Raw genomic sequence first — 13,011 nt, 5'->3', positions numbered from 1 at the left:
CCCTTTATAGCACATTTCAAAAGTTATCTGAAGAATCAAACATCTTTTGAAAGTTGAGTAGGGAGAGGGAAAAAAGAAGGTATACTTGCCTTATTTGTAGCAGTAGCACTGGATCCAGGGACCACAGGTACGTTTGTCACTTGAACTGAAAGATAATTATTATCTATGAGTGGCCAGGCCCCTTCTACTTTGCATGTTTGGAAGTTATCCTTGAAAGTTCTGAGGTGAGGATCTCCAAACAAGCCACAAAAAAGGTAACTGGGAGGGTTCTGGTCCCCTCTCCTGTGTTCCCTGGCTCCAGCGTGGCTGTGATAGTTGCAAGGATCATGGGTCACTTCGGGGTTGGTAGAGGATGTGGGTCCATCCTTGGAACAATTCCTCTGGCTCATGAGGTCACTGATACCCAACACGGCAGAATGGTATACCAGGTTGCCACGGCAGGCTTTTGAAGTTCGCTGGGTGCAGCCAGCATAGGCACGCAAGGCCTTGCAAAACTCAGAGTCAAAGCCGTCAACGGCAGAGTTCAGGTGAGAAGTCAGGGACACGAAGTCCGTGGTGCATTTCTGGATTCGACATTGGGCTGGCTGTTGGCAGTCACCTATGGGAAAGAAGATAAGACCAAACATTTGTAAACTCTTCATAACTTCCTGAGCTACATGAGAAAATCACATTGTTCTTTGGGAATTGTTTGTTCTATTTTATACACTGTACTCCTATTTTAAGAAGCCTTCAGATACAGGGTTTCATTGTGTTCCTGTGTCTTTCTCAAACTAAGCCACTGGAAGAAAAACTGCATGCAATTAGTTAACTTACAACTTTAAAGCATGAGCCACTGTGAGTGAACATGAGTCTAGTCCAGTGATCACAGGTTGAGATTACAAGGGAATAGTAAATAAAATATTTTATAAATGTTGCTATTTGTTCATAGGTTTTGAAAAAGATTACTCTAAGGTTACGCCAAAAACATGAACATTGTTTTGATTTTCCAAAATTGCATAACTTCCTTCAGAAAGCATTGGAAAAGCAGCACTAGGCACAAAACCATGGTTAAAACCTCCCCACTTCAGGAAGGTGTAAAATCCTAAATTATAGTATAATTAGTTAAAACACCTTTACTTGATTTACCTGTATGGCTACAGAATAAGAAAAAAAAAAATCCAGGTACTGTCATTCTACTTCTCCTGAGGCACGTTTACCAAGAAACTGTAAATAAACTGACACAATTTCCTAATTTCTACAAAATGTAAATGCTCTAAGAAAAAAAAAAACAAGATTCACTTGACCAAGCTATATATTTACTTTTTCCTTACTGTCTATCTCCATTACCCTAGGATCCTAGCTCCCAAGCAGATCACAAGTAAAAGCACACTAAATAAAAACAATTCATATAAACATTATGAAAAACCAAAGTATCACTGCCCTATTAGTTTTAAAAAAATCAATTTCCAAATGATGCTTTTTACCACTAGTTTCTCAAACAAAAATTTATAAAATCTCCTAAAGCACAAAAACTACCAATACTAGGTCAGTTGTGTGTCCCCAAATAATTTAATATTCTGTTCCATAAAATGGAAACAACAGACTTAGTGAAAAGAGACACTGTTCTTTGTCATCAACTGCAAATTTTATATAAATGAACTGTAACACATTATTTGTGTTACATAAAATCTTTATAGGTCTTTAAACTATGGAGACGTCTCTTAATCTCTTTAAATGTGAGGGTCCTCATCTGAGAAATGAGGAAGCTATTCTAAGACGAACTTTGTATTCTTTTCCAGACAGTAAATATCTTATGATTTGTATTCTGGATGGGGGAAAAAATTCAGGGCCAGTAGATTATTATTAAATATATAATTATTTCAAGATGTGGATGCAATAAACTTCAGGATGATATCAAGATTTAGGGAACTCCATCTGATAAAGACTTAAAATTTAGCCTAATATTGTCTTAGAAAGCTATTTTAACATTTTCACTAGTAAACTGCTCTTAAATCTGAATTTAGTAGCTTGTAAGCTCTGTTTCTGGCTTTGGCTGGGAGAAACAGGTGGGAGAAGACAACTTCTGAAGACAACTCTGTCACCACTTTTAAATTTGCAAAATTTTAAATTTTAAATTTTAAATTTCAAATCTTCTTGGGTTCTTCTGCTTTGGCTAAGGCTTCCAACAGCATTTTGCTACAGAGATGATGGGAGGGAAGAGGGCTAAATACAGAGAAAGTGTGTTTGGGTCAAAAAGGGGAAAATACTATATAGTCTAGGCTTGGTATTCACTTTAACCTGAGTCAAAGATTAAAACATTTTAATATGTTGGAGCTATGGATTTACAGCAATCATCAAATCATACTTTCAAAAAAAAAGTTACAAAAACATCTTTGTGTGGAATCTACTTTATGTTTGCTCATTCCAAAGCTGACAAAAGTAGCTCCAGTATTTACTGAATTTCTCTTTCCAAAGCAGATCAAATAATTTTCAGCTATTTTTCACTAGAACTCAAATCAAACCAAAACAGAAATTAACCAACTAAACAACTCCAAAAGGCGTTAAAGCCATTTTGCAGATGGGAAATCCAAGGCAAAGGGATATTAAAGGGCTTGTTCTGGCAGAATCATAAAACAGCTAGCATCATTAAGCCAGGATGTGGTGCCTTCCCTCAAAACTTGTTGTTCTTCCATCACAGGTCACGTCTCCTCTTATTTCCTAACTGCAATGACAGTACTTGATGGCTGAAAAAAAGACTTAAGTAGCTATTGCATTTTTTTTCTTTTAAAATCAGATACACAGAAAGCAAGAAAATAAATATGGGGCCAAGGTCTCAGTAATGAAGAGCTCTTAAGACTACGGATAAATGACAGCACAAGAACTTCCCGCTAAACTTGCAGTGCCTATTTGTTCTTTTTATGGTCTATAAAATCTATCCGAGCATACGTTTCTTTATAATTATTTCAAATAGTCATAAAATATCAAACGAACAGTATGGAAATGCAGATGGAACCATTCAGAAGGAAAGAAAAGTGGAATTTAGATTCCCAGCTCCCTTTTCATACCTTCCTTGCAACCCCCCAAACCTTTTCCTTTCCTTTTTTTTTTTTTTGAGACGGAGTCTTGCTCTTGTTGCCCAGGCTGGAGAGCAGTGGCGCGATCTCGGCTCACTGCAACCTCCGCCTCCCAGGTTCAAGCGATTCTCCTACCTCAGCCTCCCTAGTAGCTGGGATTACAGGCACGCGCCACCACACCCGGCTAATTTTGTATTTTTAGTAGAGACAGGGTTTCTCCATGTTGGTCAGGCAGGTCTTGAACTCCCAACCTCAGGTGATCTGCCCGCCTCAGTCTCCCAAAGTGCTGGGATTACAGGCGTGAGCCACAGCGCCCGGCCTAAACCTTTCCCTCTTTCATAGCAGGTAGGTGCTGACTGCTTAAACAAATCTCAAATCAAACAGATCTCCCGGGGTTCTTTTGCTTTGGCTAAGGCTTCCAACAGCCTTCTGCTACAGAGATGATGGGAGCGAAGAGGGCTAAATAGAAAGTGCGATTGGGTCAGCATTTTCAGCTGCCTTGTGGGCTTCTATATAATGACTAATTTGTAGCATACACCCAGAAATATCCAGGCTTCATGAATTTATAACGACAACGCACACTTTGCCTGTTATAGGCGGTAAAGTAAGCCTCCTGTCAAAATGCCAAGACAATGCGGAGCAGAAACAATCTCAAGGATGTAGCCAAGAAGGCCATGAAGTGTATGAGTAAGCAAGTAACTCCCATATTGGATCTCTATTCAGGAATTGCAGAGGTTTGCTTAAAAAAAATAAAATAAAATAAAGCAACTAAAGGTACTCTTTTCATACTCTTTTCATTCCCCAAGGGCAGAATTAAAACTCTGCAGCTACAGATTTCTCTATTTTTGGGTCAGATTATCTGTGATCAGTGTGACAGTATTTTCACACCAGTTACTGAACATGCTAAAGCATTTGTGGGTCTAGAGCTTTCATTTCATCATTTTTGAATGAATCAGACATAAAGACCTCACCATTCAAGACAGTTTCTTTAACACCAGGACTACACGTGTGAATCTGCAGCACAATCACCAGTTTATAATAAAAGAAATGAGGTATTCTGAAGCTGAATTAAGTGAAATGTGGAGCCATATGGGGTGCTGAGGCAGATGATAAGGATCCAGGCATAAAACATATAGTAGTCCATCTGCAAAGAGCACTGGCACTCTTGCTGGGTTCCCTTATCTGAGAAACAACCCGGGCATTTAAATAGCACCACTCTTCAAAGAAATCTCTCAAAAGGAGCGTTCTTTTCTTTAACAGGATTAATCGCTTCACTCCAACAAGTTGTCCATAGAAATCGCTTACCACATTGTTGGGCTGAATCTAATGGTGACTTAAATGAGGACACATGAAGATACTGGGAGCTTCACATTCCAAATTCTTGAACGAAGACACCCTACTTTTCTAAACCTTTAAGCCAACTTAGTATGCCTTTCACGGGCTAGCAAAGAAACCTTCAGGGACCACATTCCAATTCTGTCACAGGATCCTATGGCAACTATGGGAAACAATATCCAAGCAGCCAAGGGGGACACAATCCCACCTAGCACAATTTCCATTTCATGAAACTTACATTTTGGTATTATGGACACATATTTTTCGCACAAACACTCCTGAATATATCTTTTAACATGTCAAGAAAAATTTTCCACGTAACTACATGCAGATTGACACTATTTTCTAAGGTTCTTAGGTTACTAATTGAAAGCCGTAATCATCCTAAAACTTTCTATTACACTTTTTTATTAAGCCGTCTTTTCCCTAATTGTCGGTGTTAAAAAGCAGCTATTACATCATAATGCAAAGCTACGCAAAGTAAATTAAGTCTCCTCAGATGTCACATTTTCCCCCCCATTACTTAAAAGACCTCCCTGATTTTTAGCATGGCGGGTATGGTTTAATAAGTAAAAATTACTCCGCACAGTTGGGTGGCATCGAAGTTCAGGATTCTCCAGACCAGAACGTTGTGAAGTGTCTCATATATACAGGACAAAAAAGGTCTGGAAGGAAAAGAAACTTATCTAATGCTGTTTGTTCTCAAGACTAAAGGAAAATGACCCTTTCAACCTTAGCATTAAAAAAAATTCTTTGTCTAGGCAAATTCCTAGAAAAAAATAGTGTGAAGAGCGTCCTGGATTTTCATGAAACGATTTTTTAAAAAGAAAAATAGGTATCACATGGTAGAAGGCTCATTTGCAGGCTTACTTCCCTTGGAACATACGCCTCAAGGCTGGGGAAGCGCCGACCTCCAGAAGGCAGCATGGTTATCTGTCAACCCCTCACGGAGCCCGAAGACACCCGGCTAGTCACAAAACACGAGCTTTTCCCGGGAGGCTGATCGCTGAACAAACGCAGCTTTTGCCAAAACGAAAGAAATCCCTGCTCAAAAAAGTTGACGTTACTTCGAGATTAACTCCCAGGTTTGCAAAATCTGGTAAAAATCTTTCCATCTGGTGTACTTCCTTCGCCTCGCCGCCACCCCCAACTCCAGAAAAGCAGCACAAGGCTCCTTGTCTCCCTCCGAGGCGGCTGCGACGGCGGAAACCTGATCCGAGCCTGACTTTCAGTAAACACCAGCGCAGAGAGCAATAAAGCATCCGGAACATTTGTCTCGGGCGCGCGGCCCCCGCCCGCTAAATGTTTGATAAGCGGCTGTCGGAGGGGAGATTTGTCAGCGGTCCGAGCCGAAGGCGGGGAGGGTGGAGAGAAGGCTCGTCTCTGCGCCCGGCGGCCGCCCGGTGGGTGGCTGCGTTACTGTGGCCCGGAGCCCGACAGAGGTGCGTGTCAGGGGCTCGGGAGGCCTTTCCCGTTGCGCCACGCCGCCCTTCCGCCCCGGCGAGCGCCTTCGAGACCTGGGGCTATTTGGGAACAAAGCCCTAGGCCCCGGGGCTGGCTCCCCTCGCGCGCTCCCGTCCTACCTGCGTGGAGCAGCCCGAGGCTGAACAGCAGCAGCAGCAGCAGCTCCAGCGGCGGGGGGCAGAGCCCGGGGCTGCGGCGCTGCTCAACCTCGGCGGCGGCAGCGGCGGCGCTGGAAGGTGCTGCTCTCAAGCCCATGCCCGTCCATGCAGGTCTCGTGGGCTCCGGCGAGGGCGGCGGCGCGGGCGCCGTGGCGGGTCTGGGCCCGTGGCTGCGGCATGGGCCGGGGGGCGCGCTTCGCTTCCTCTTCTTCCTTCTTCAGGCCCGTGTAGCAGATGGGGCGCCACCACCGCCGCAGCAAGCAGCGCGCAGCCGGCGCAGCCAGTCCGCGGCGGCAGCAGCGGGGCGCAGGGGCATCGTGGCGGCCGGAGGCGGCAGGCAGGGAAAGGGGCGGAAGAGAAGACACAAAGACCGTGAGCGACTGCTGAGACGAGTCCCGAGCGCGCCGGCACCCCGGCCCCAGCCAGCGTGGGCTCGGCGGGCGTGGACCTCCAAGAGGCTGGCCCAGCCCTAGCGACCACCCACCGGCGGCCCGGATATCTCTGCGCGGCAGCCCCCGCGGTCGATCAATCTCAGTCCCGCACTGCCGTCCCGCCCCGCCCTGTGCCCGCCAATCCACGACGCCATAATCCCCCGCCGTGTCCCTCCCTTCCTCCCCATTGGTTGTGACCGCACGTCAGCCCGACTCAGCCTGCCAATCGCAGGACCCAGAGGGCCCTCTCCCCCGCCCGCTCAGTGTAATTCGAGTTCCCTGTCCATCGACTCCAAGTCCTCTCTCCTGCGCCGCATGCTGCCTCGCGCTCCCTTTCCTTCCCCCTCTACCCCCTTCCGCGATTTACTGTTTCCTCGCGCCCAACAGAAATGGGCGACCGCAAGTCTTACTCTCGCCGGCGTTACAAAGGTACCGGCCTTTGACCTCTCCTTGAATTAATGTGATCCGATTCATCTTCCCTCCAAGTTTTTTTTTTAATTTAATTACCCCTCCCTGCCCTGGCCCTGCCAGCTTCAGCTCCACCTCCTTGGAGGAAGCAGGCGCTTTTACAGAGCGCCGCGCGGCAGGTCCCCTTTCAGCCAATCACATCTGCGGAACCGCGTTCCGAGTCGTTTGAGGGTGTCTGGTAAAGCAAGCTCGGGGCGGTGTTGGAAATCTGAATGTCACCCGCGGTCCGGAGCAGATAGGATGGGCTGGGAAGGTACCCGCGAACTGCCGCCGGAATTCGCTGGCAGCTGTGCGAGGCTCAGGTGTTCTAGTTTGACATTTCCCTTCCTGAAAGCGGCAAGGAGAGGTCTAAGAGTGGGCAAACTTCAACGTTCGGTTACAGTGTAATTAATGAGAGTGGTGGGTTTTTATGCAGTGTAATTATGCCACGATTTGTTGTTGCTCAGTGGCTTTTTCACAAATTTCTACAGATTATTTAAATTTTCCACAAATTTCTACGGATTAATTCAATGGCAGCTCACTTTCTCCTTTTATGATCGGATGGGTCCGAAAGTGAGGAAAAAGACAATTGTCTACAAAGAAAGAGGCTGCCAAGTGGAGACAGAAAAGCAGTTATGAGACTGATGATAGATTCCAATTTGTTATCGGTAGGTGTGAAGTGGTATCTAATCTCAAGAATGACCTCAAGGCTGAGAGACACTTGATACCGCCCTCGCCTTTGCCTTTCCCCAAACAGCACAGGGTTGCCATTTAAAATCCACTAACATCCAAATCGTAGTTGGCAACTGTACCCGCTATGTTACTCAGAATCTCTAATTAGGAATTTCTTATCAACCACGGACATGCTGATATTCCACACATGTTTAAATGAGCTAATCAATGGACTAGGATAATTGAGGGGCAAACCTTCAGTCTCACCAGCTCACTTATTAGACACATTTTGAATTGCCCAAACCACTAGGTCCCTAATGAAGGATGCCTATCTGTTTTTACTGTAACTTTTCATTACTTACTTGTTACATACTATGATGACTTAAGGGGTAAACACACCTTTCACTATCCACAATATAATCCAAGCCTGTGTATATCCATAATACGCTTAATAATAGCTTCACAGTTGCCTGGAGAAATGACTTTTGGGGAGGAAGTTATATGACATTTTTAGATAATGCTGCGGACTAAGTATTATTAGAGCAAAAATTTACTATCTTGCAATTACTTCATATAATTAGATACAGTTCATGACATACTAAGAAGCATCTTAAAAAAGTAATCAAACATAATACTGATTTTCAAAGTATTTGGCTAACAAAGACTACATTTTTTTCTCTTAACCCAAGATTTAATTCGACCCCTATAAAAGCAGCATCTCACTTTATTGATCATACTTCAAAGCATATACTCAATAGTTAAGGATCAATAATTTCTGTTTGGTTTGGGTCTTTCCACTCGTGACTTTCTATGATTTTTTACTCCCCTCCCCCTATATCCTGTTCCATAAGTACACGGGTGCTCTAGATTTTCCTATCAATAGAGGGCGTCCTCGAGTCATTGCAAATCCTGGTGTCGTTAAACGGAACTGTTCTTCAGAGGAAAAACTTCATCTCTATAAGGTGCTTTATTGCTCCTCTGTTGTAAAATTTGACAAGCTCGAGATTTATAAGCCTAACAATTCACTTTTTATTGCTGCATAAGTGTTCAGCCGCTAGAGGAAAATGCTAATTTTCACAAGTAAACCGCAAGGTGGTTCCTATTTTCAAGACATAGGTCAGTTGACACACTCGCGGGTAAATTCGTACTGTTCACAAGATCAGGAATTGGCTTGGAAAGCAAGAGCGTAGTGAATAGTCGCTTATACCGCAGCCACTCCTCAAGCCCGTGAGCTGCAAGTTACAAACGACTTTATATTGTACAAAGAAAAATCGGGGAGGGAGCTAGAACACAAACAAAAAAATCGGTGACTTATAAAAGTTTTATGTTTTAATCAGAAAAAAAATCATGAAGTGGCTGATGACTTGTGTAATTCACACATCCACCCTGTTTCTTGCCACTGGTACTCTTTCTCCCTTTCTCTTTGTTTTCAGAAAGGAAGGAGGAGACCTGAACAGTACATCCGGAGAATCCAGCAAAGCATACTACGGCATGAACGTGCAAGTGGACAGAATTAAAACACATGCCAGAAACACTAATGGATTCTAAACAAGATGCAGTTTCATTTCCTGAGCCTATACGTGATGTTTTTAACTGTTCTCCAGTTAATATGTCTCCATTTCCAGAAATCTAACAGGAGAATCTCTGACTGCTTAACAGATCACCTAAGCTTGCGATTTGTGCAATCCTTTCTAGAGTAAGGGCTCCCCGGCTGCTCCCCGGCCACTGTGTACCCAAAGCAGCGGCTGAAATAGCCCGGAGTCCAACAGCTCAGCGTCAAGCAGCTCGTGGTTTGTACTTACATCATTTTTTTTTTCAGAGCAAGAGTGAAAGTTTATTAAAAAGCGTTAGAACAGTAAGGAAAGGAAAGGAGAGAAAATAAGGAAAGTACAACTTGGAAGAGGGCCAAGCGGGCGACTTGAGAAATCAAGTGCCTGTACTTACATCATTCTTAACCCTTTCGCTCCTGGAGGGGGCTCAGCGGGATCAGGGGGCCCCTGAACTTCGGAACACGCAGGACCTGGGTGTGAGAGAAGAGTCCCAAAGCTTGGCGTGAGCAATGCACTCGCGGAGGGAGAGAGCCCGGGGCTTGCGGGGGGCTCATCACCCGCTCGTAGACAACGGGCCCCCGCAATCCCTGCGGGCTCCGCCGCTGCTCTCACCGCTCAAAACGGCAGGTGCAAAAAGCATTTGGGAGCCGCTTGCCAGCGCGCGGAGGTAATGCGCTTCCTGTCCATTTATCTCAGGAAACCAGTGCAGCCTTCCCTTCGAAACAAAATTAACCTCTCATTAGCCAGCCACTCGCTCCCAAGAAGGCCTTAAAAGCTTTACCAGCTCGCTAATGTATTTAGGCTTTTCTTCCAGGCAAACGCAGCCGCCGGTCTTGACTGCCATCGCCCAAGGGGTTCCTCTGGGCTCTCCCGCGAGCCAACAGCCGACCTCTCTCCAGCCTAGTCTGGGAAACTCCAGCCAACCCAGGATCCCATTTTGTAGTCCCGGGCAGACCCGAAACCCCTGAAAGAACTCCACTCCAGAAGACGCCAGAACAAGTTCCCACGAATTTCATGGGCGCCCTTCACATGAAAACCTCAGCTCCCCTATCCTCAAGGAACGGGGAAGGGCGCCGGGGAGGGACTTCGGTGGCCAGCTGTCCCTGGGTCGTGGGCGCTGTTTGCTCTGCGGAGCGCCAGCCCTGCACACAGCGGGTGCGGGAAGCGTTGATGGGAGGCTGGAGGGCGGGGTGAGCGTAAACTAGGATCTAGCCGGTTCCAGGCGTGGAGAATCAAATGTGGTCCTAGATCTGTAAGTTGCGAAAAGGGGCTTTTGGGAGCGTCAGAGCTTTCTCACTCCGGTCCCCCGCCGCCTTGAGGCTGGCAGATTTATACCCCACAGGTGGATGGAGACCTAAACAAAACAGTCCCGGCCGCTGCCTGCCGCTCGCCCCCCACGTCCCCCGGGCCCACCGCAAACTTCAACAAAATAAACAACTCACCACAGGCATTCCCTTGTCTGCAGCGCGACGCTTGCCAGCTGGGAAAATAAGCCGCAAGCCACGCGGCCGAGGCGCGGAGGGAAGGCAGCGCGGCGCCCGCCCCTCTCCCCCAGGTGGGGGGCAGCGCGACTCGGGGCGGGAGGGAGGCTCCGCCTCGGGGGCCGCTCTCCCAGTTCTCCGACTCCAGAATGAGCTCTGGGAGAGGAGCTGCGCCCTTCCAGCTAGCCCGATTTCTCCGCCATCTAGGGGAGAGGGCGGGGAGCCAAATCCCTCAGCCCCCCGCACCCCAGCAGCTTCCTCCAGGCAGCTTTCTCCCCAGTCAGCCTCAAATAGAGGTGAACAGAGACCCTCCTCTCCCCCCGGCAACCCCTATATCGCCACACTGCCCCCTGCCGGCGCTATCCGGCTCATTCCGGCACTGCGGACGGCTGGGGGCGTGGGGGCGTAGGGGCGCCGCAGACCCCCGCGTCCAGGTCCTGGATCAGTTCTCTCTTCGCCTTCCCCCCACCACACTCAATCTTGCACAAAGACGCCTTTCACGCCGCCAGCGCCACCCTCCGCGCCGCCCTCCGGGCCGGCGGCGCTGCCTTCGCCCACCCGCGGCACCAGCCGATTCCTGGTGGGCGATTGTGCCACTCGTCGCCAGGCAGGGCGGCAGCGGACGCGTGCGGGCTGTTCCCACTCCGCGCCCCGGCCAAGGCGCCAGATGCGCTGCCCCCCGCCACGTTCTCTAGCTGCCCGCCGGCAGCCGCAGAATGCACACCTTTCTCTCCGTAAATGATCCTTAAGGGTCTTCCAAGTGTTTCTAAAATGGGTACAGTGGCGGGAATGGTCCGCTGGACTTTCGCCGAAATAAGGAATCCAGCGATCTTACCTGACCACCTAAGGTGCCAGTGTGCCTTTACAGCTTAAGAAAGCCAAAGATAAAGATTTGGAAATAAAGAGGGGAGAGAGGGTTTAAAGAGACACCTAAGGCCCAGAGCAAGTGTGTTACAAAGAATGAGCCCACGAAATGTTCGAGGGAGGACGGTCGCTTCGATCAGCGTGGAAGGCGTGGAGGGCAAGAAGAAAGGGATTAACTTTCTACCTTACATTGATCTTCCAAAGTAGAAAAACAAACAAACAAAAAACATCCCAGATACTCAGCGGCAGCTAATTGGCGCGTTCAACGCCTGGAACTAGCGGGCTACTTCTCTTAGTCAAGTCAAATGCTCAAGTATCCTGACTCAGGGAGGTCACTTCTTGCCTCCTTAGGCAAGAATCTACGACCCTCTCCAGCTTTTCTTTGCCTTCTCCTCCCCTAACCCCTCCTTACAGTTTCTCCGGCTAACGCTAGAGGCAGCATAGGGCAGTGTAAAGAGGACGAGTGGGAATCCACAGAGGAAGGTCTAGTCCTGACTTTCTGGGTCTGGGCTTTAGGCAACTGATTTAACGTCTTTGGACCTTGGGGTCACTATCAAGAAAGGATGTGTAAGAGGCATTAATTAGTAAAATTTACATATCCTTCTCTTTCTTAAATTCGATGACAATGAACGCCCTTCCTCCAAACCTCTGCAGGTTCCTCCTTAGTATTTTTTTCACCTTGCTTTATCTTCTCCAAGTGCCAGTCAAATGGAAAAAAACATACTGAGATTGTTTCAAGGTAAATGTAAGACACATTGAAACATACCCTTTTGCATCTGAGAATTTAAAAAGAAGAAAAAAAAAACCCCAACTCAGCTCCTGGTTTACAAAAGCAAGGAATTTTAATGTCCCCACTTGTTTTGCTTTTGAAAAGCCACTCCAGCAGTCAGCAAAGCACAGCTTTGATTTAGAAACTAAAGGCTAGTCTCTTGTGTTTTTCTTTTCCCTTCCACCAACACAAAGACAAGCTGCAGCATAAAATAATGATGAACAAGAGTTCAAAGCAAGCCCAGTGAGCCAGCCCAGAGGATGTTTTTTAATGCAGCCCCAGTTCTTCGTCCCTCTCCTGCTAAGCTGAACGGTACATAAATAGCAGGCACAAGCTGCCAGAATTCCCTGTCTCCTCCACTCCTTTCCCATAAATATTGCTCAGTGGAACCTAGAGGCTAACTTGTCAATCATCACATAAATACATTCATCAGATCATACGTTTAATTTTTCTTTAGTTTCATAATATTTTTCATGATTTTCAATTCACCACCCACTTTGGAAACTTGAACATTAGTTCTCCCTCTGGGTAAGCTTGTCTGTTTTCTGAGAACTTTCTATGCAACTAAGGCAAAAAAGGGTAAAATCTCATAATGAAGCACTAACTTTTAAATTACAAATCTCTTGCTTCAATTTCAACAACAGAATTTTAGAATGGCTTGGCTTTCATACAATGCACACTGTTAAAAGTTATCTATTAAAGAGGATTCTTAAGTATCCCTTTGGGATACTTTTTTGGGAAAAAAAGTTTCCTTAAACAATAGTGGTGGCAAAATATTCTGAGCTTG

The 13,011-nt window shown here is 46.5% G+C and overlaps 1 protein-coding gene and 1 long non-coding RNA gene across 10 annotated transcripts in view, besides 9 other annotated features; one reads left to right on the top strand and one right to left on the bottom strand.

The window, feature by feature from the left end:
• Window positions 1-1,064: part of an enhancer, noted in NCBI's record as "MED14-independent group 3 enhancer chr5:98114818-98116017 (GRCh37/hg19 assembly coordinates)", that runs on past the window's edge. NCBI's record gives its function as "activates an origin of replication core promoter dependent on BRD2, BRD4, P300/CBP and CDK7 cofactors, and independent of MED14, by STARR-seq in HCT116 cells {active_cell/tissue: HCT116}" and the evidence as "EXISTENCE:reporter gene assay evidence [ECO:0000049][PMID:35650434]".
• Window positions 1-11,546, bottom strand: part of RGMB (repulsive guidance molecule BMP co-receptor b) — a 27,863-nt gene extending 16,317 nt beyond the window's left edge. The window contains exons 1-5 of one of the 9 annotated variants that reach the window (XM_047417124.1): window positions 10,553-10,742; window positions 9,723-9,825; window positions 9,505-9,580; window positions 5,972-6,225; window positions 90-598 (exon numbers count right to left, since the gene is read on the bottom strand). In XM_047417124.1, the coding sequence (XP_047273080.1) occupies window positions 90-598; window positions 5,972-6,225; window positions 9,505-9,580; window positions 9,723-9,825; window positions 10,553-10,561 (951 nt within the window). In that variant the 5' untranslated portion in view covers window positions 10,562-10,742. Of the gene's footprint in view, window positions 1-89; window positions 599-4,975; window positions 6,516-6,644; window positions 10,743-11,315 lie in introns of those variants that run through there. The other 8 variants (NM_001366510.1, NM_001366509.1, NM_001012761.3 and 5 more) reach the window with 8 other exon arrangements.
• Window positions 5,279-5,398: an enhancer, noted in NCBI's record as "active region_22836". NCBI's record gives its function as "activates an Ori minimal core promoter by ATAC-STARR-seq in GM12878 lymphoblastoid cells {active_cell/tissue: GM12878}" and the evidence as "EXISTENCE:reporter gene assay evidence [ECO:0000049][PMID:35858748]".
• Window positions 5,654-6,153: an enhancer, noted in NCBI's record as "H3K27ac hESC enhancer chr5:98109729-98110228 (GRCh37/hg19 assembly coordinates)". NCBI's record gives its function as "activates a minimal SCP1, AML or CMV promoter by ChIP-STARR-seq in primed H9 embryonic stem cells {active_cell/tissue: H9 hESC(primed)}" and the evidence as "EXISTENCE:reporter gene assay evidence [ECO:0000049][PMID:30033119]".
• Window positions 5,654-6,668: a biological region, named in NCBI's record as "H3K27ac hESC enhancer GRCh37_chr5:98109729-98110228".
• Window positions 6,039-6,668: a silencer, noted in NCBI's record as "silent region_16203". NCBI's record gives its function as "represses an Ori minimal core promoter by ATAC-STARR-seq in GM12878 lymphoblastoid cells {active_cell/tissue: GM12878}" and the evidence as "EXISTENCE:reporter gene assay evidence [ECO:0000049][PMID:35858748]".
• Window positions 6,889-6,938: an enhancer, noted in NCBI's record as "active region_22835". NCBI's record gives its function as "activates an Ori minimal core promoter by ATAC-STARR-seq in GM12878 lymphoblastoid cells {active_cell/tissue: GM12878}" and the evidence as "EXISTENCE:reporter gene assay evidence [ECO:0000049][PMID:35858748]".
• On the top strand, window positions 7,094-10,560 carry RGMB-AS1 (RGMB antisense RNA 1). The gene is given in 2 exon segments (NR_033932.1): window positions 7,094-7,556; window positions 8,994-10,560. It is a non-coding gene; the product is annotated as an RGMB antisense RNA 1 (long non-coding RNA).
• Window positions 9,317-9,817: an enhancer, noted in NCBI's record as "H3K27ac hESC enhancer chr5:98106065-98106565 (GRCh37/hg19 assembly coordinates)". NCBI's record gives its function as "activates a minimal SCP1, AML or CMV promoter by ChIP-STARR-seq in primed H9 embryonic stem cells {active_cell/tissue: H9 hESC(primed)}" and the evidence as "EXISTENCE:reporter gene assay evidence [ECO:0000049][PMID:30033119]".
• Window positions 11,529-12,269: an enhancer, noted in NCBI's record as "OCT4-NANOG-H3K27ac hESC enhancer chr5:98103613-98104353 (GRCh37/hg19 assembly coordinates)". NCBI's record gives its function as "activates a minimal SCP1, AML or CMV promoter by ChIP-STARR-seq in primed H9 embryonic stem cells {active_cell/tissue: H9 hESC(primed)}" and the evidence as "EXISTENCE:reporter gene assay evidence [ECO:0000049][PMID:30033119]".
• Window positions 12,270-13,011: an enhancer, noted in NCBI's record as "OCT4-NANOG-H3K27ac hESC enhancer chr5:98102871-98103612 (GRCh37/hg19 assembly coordinates)". NCBI's record gives its function as "activates a minimal SCP1, AML or CMV promoter by ChIP-STARR-seq in primed H9 embryonic stem cells {active_cell/tissue: H9 hESC(primed)}" and the evidence as "EXISTENCE:reporter gene assay evidence [ECO:0000049][PMID:30033119]".

The sequence above is a fragment of the Homo sapiens genome, chromosome 5, assembly GCF_000001405.40.
Source record: "Homo sapiens chromosome 5, GRCh38.p14 Primary Assembly".
Classification (NCBI taxonomy): Eukaryota; Metazoa; Chordata; class Mammalia; order Primates; family Hominidae; genus Homo; species Homo sapiens.
Note: the sequence above shows the minus strand (reverse complement) of the source record. Positions and strands in the feature narration are given on the sequence as shown.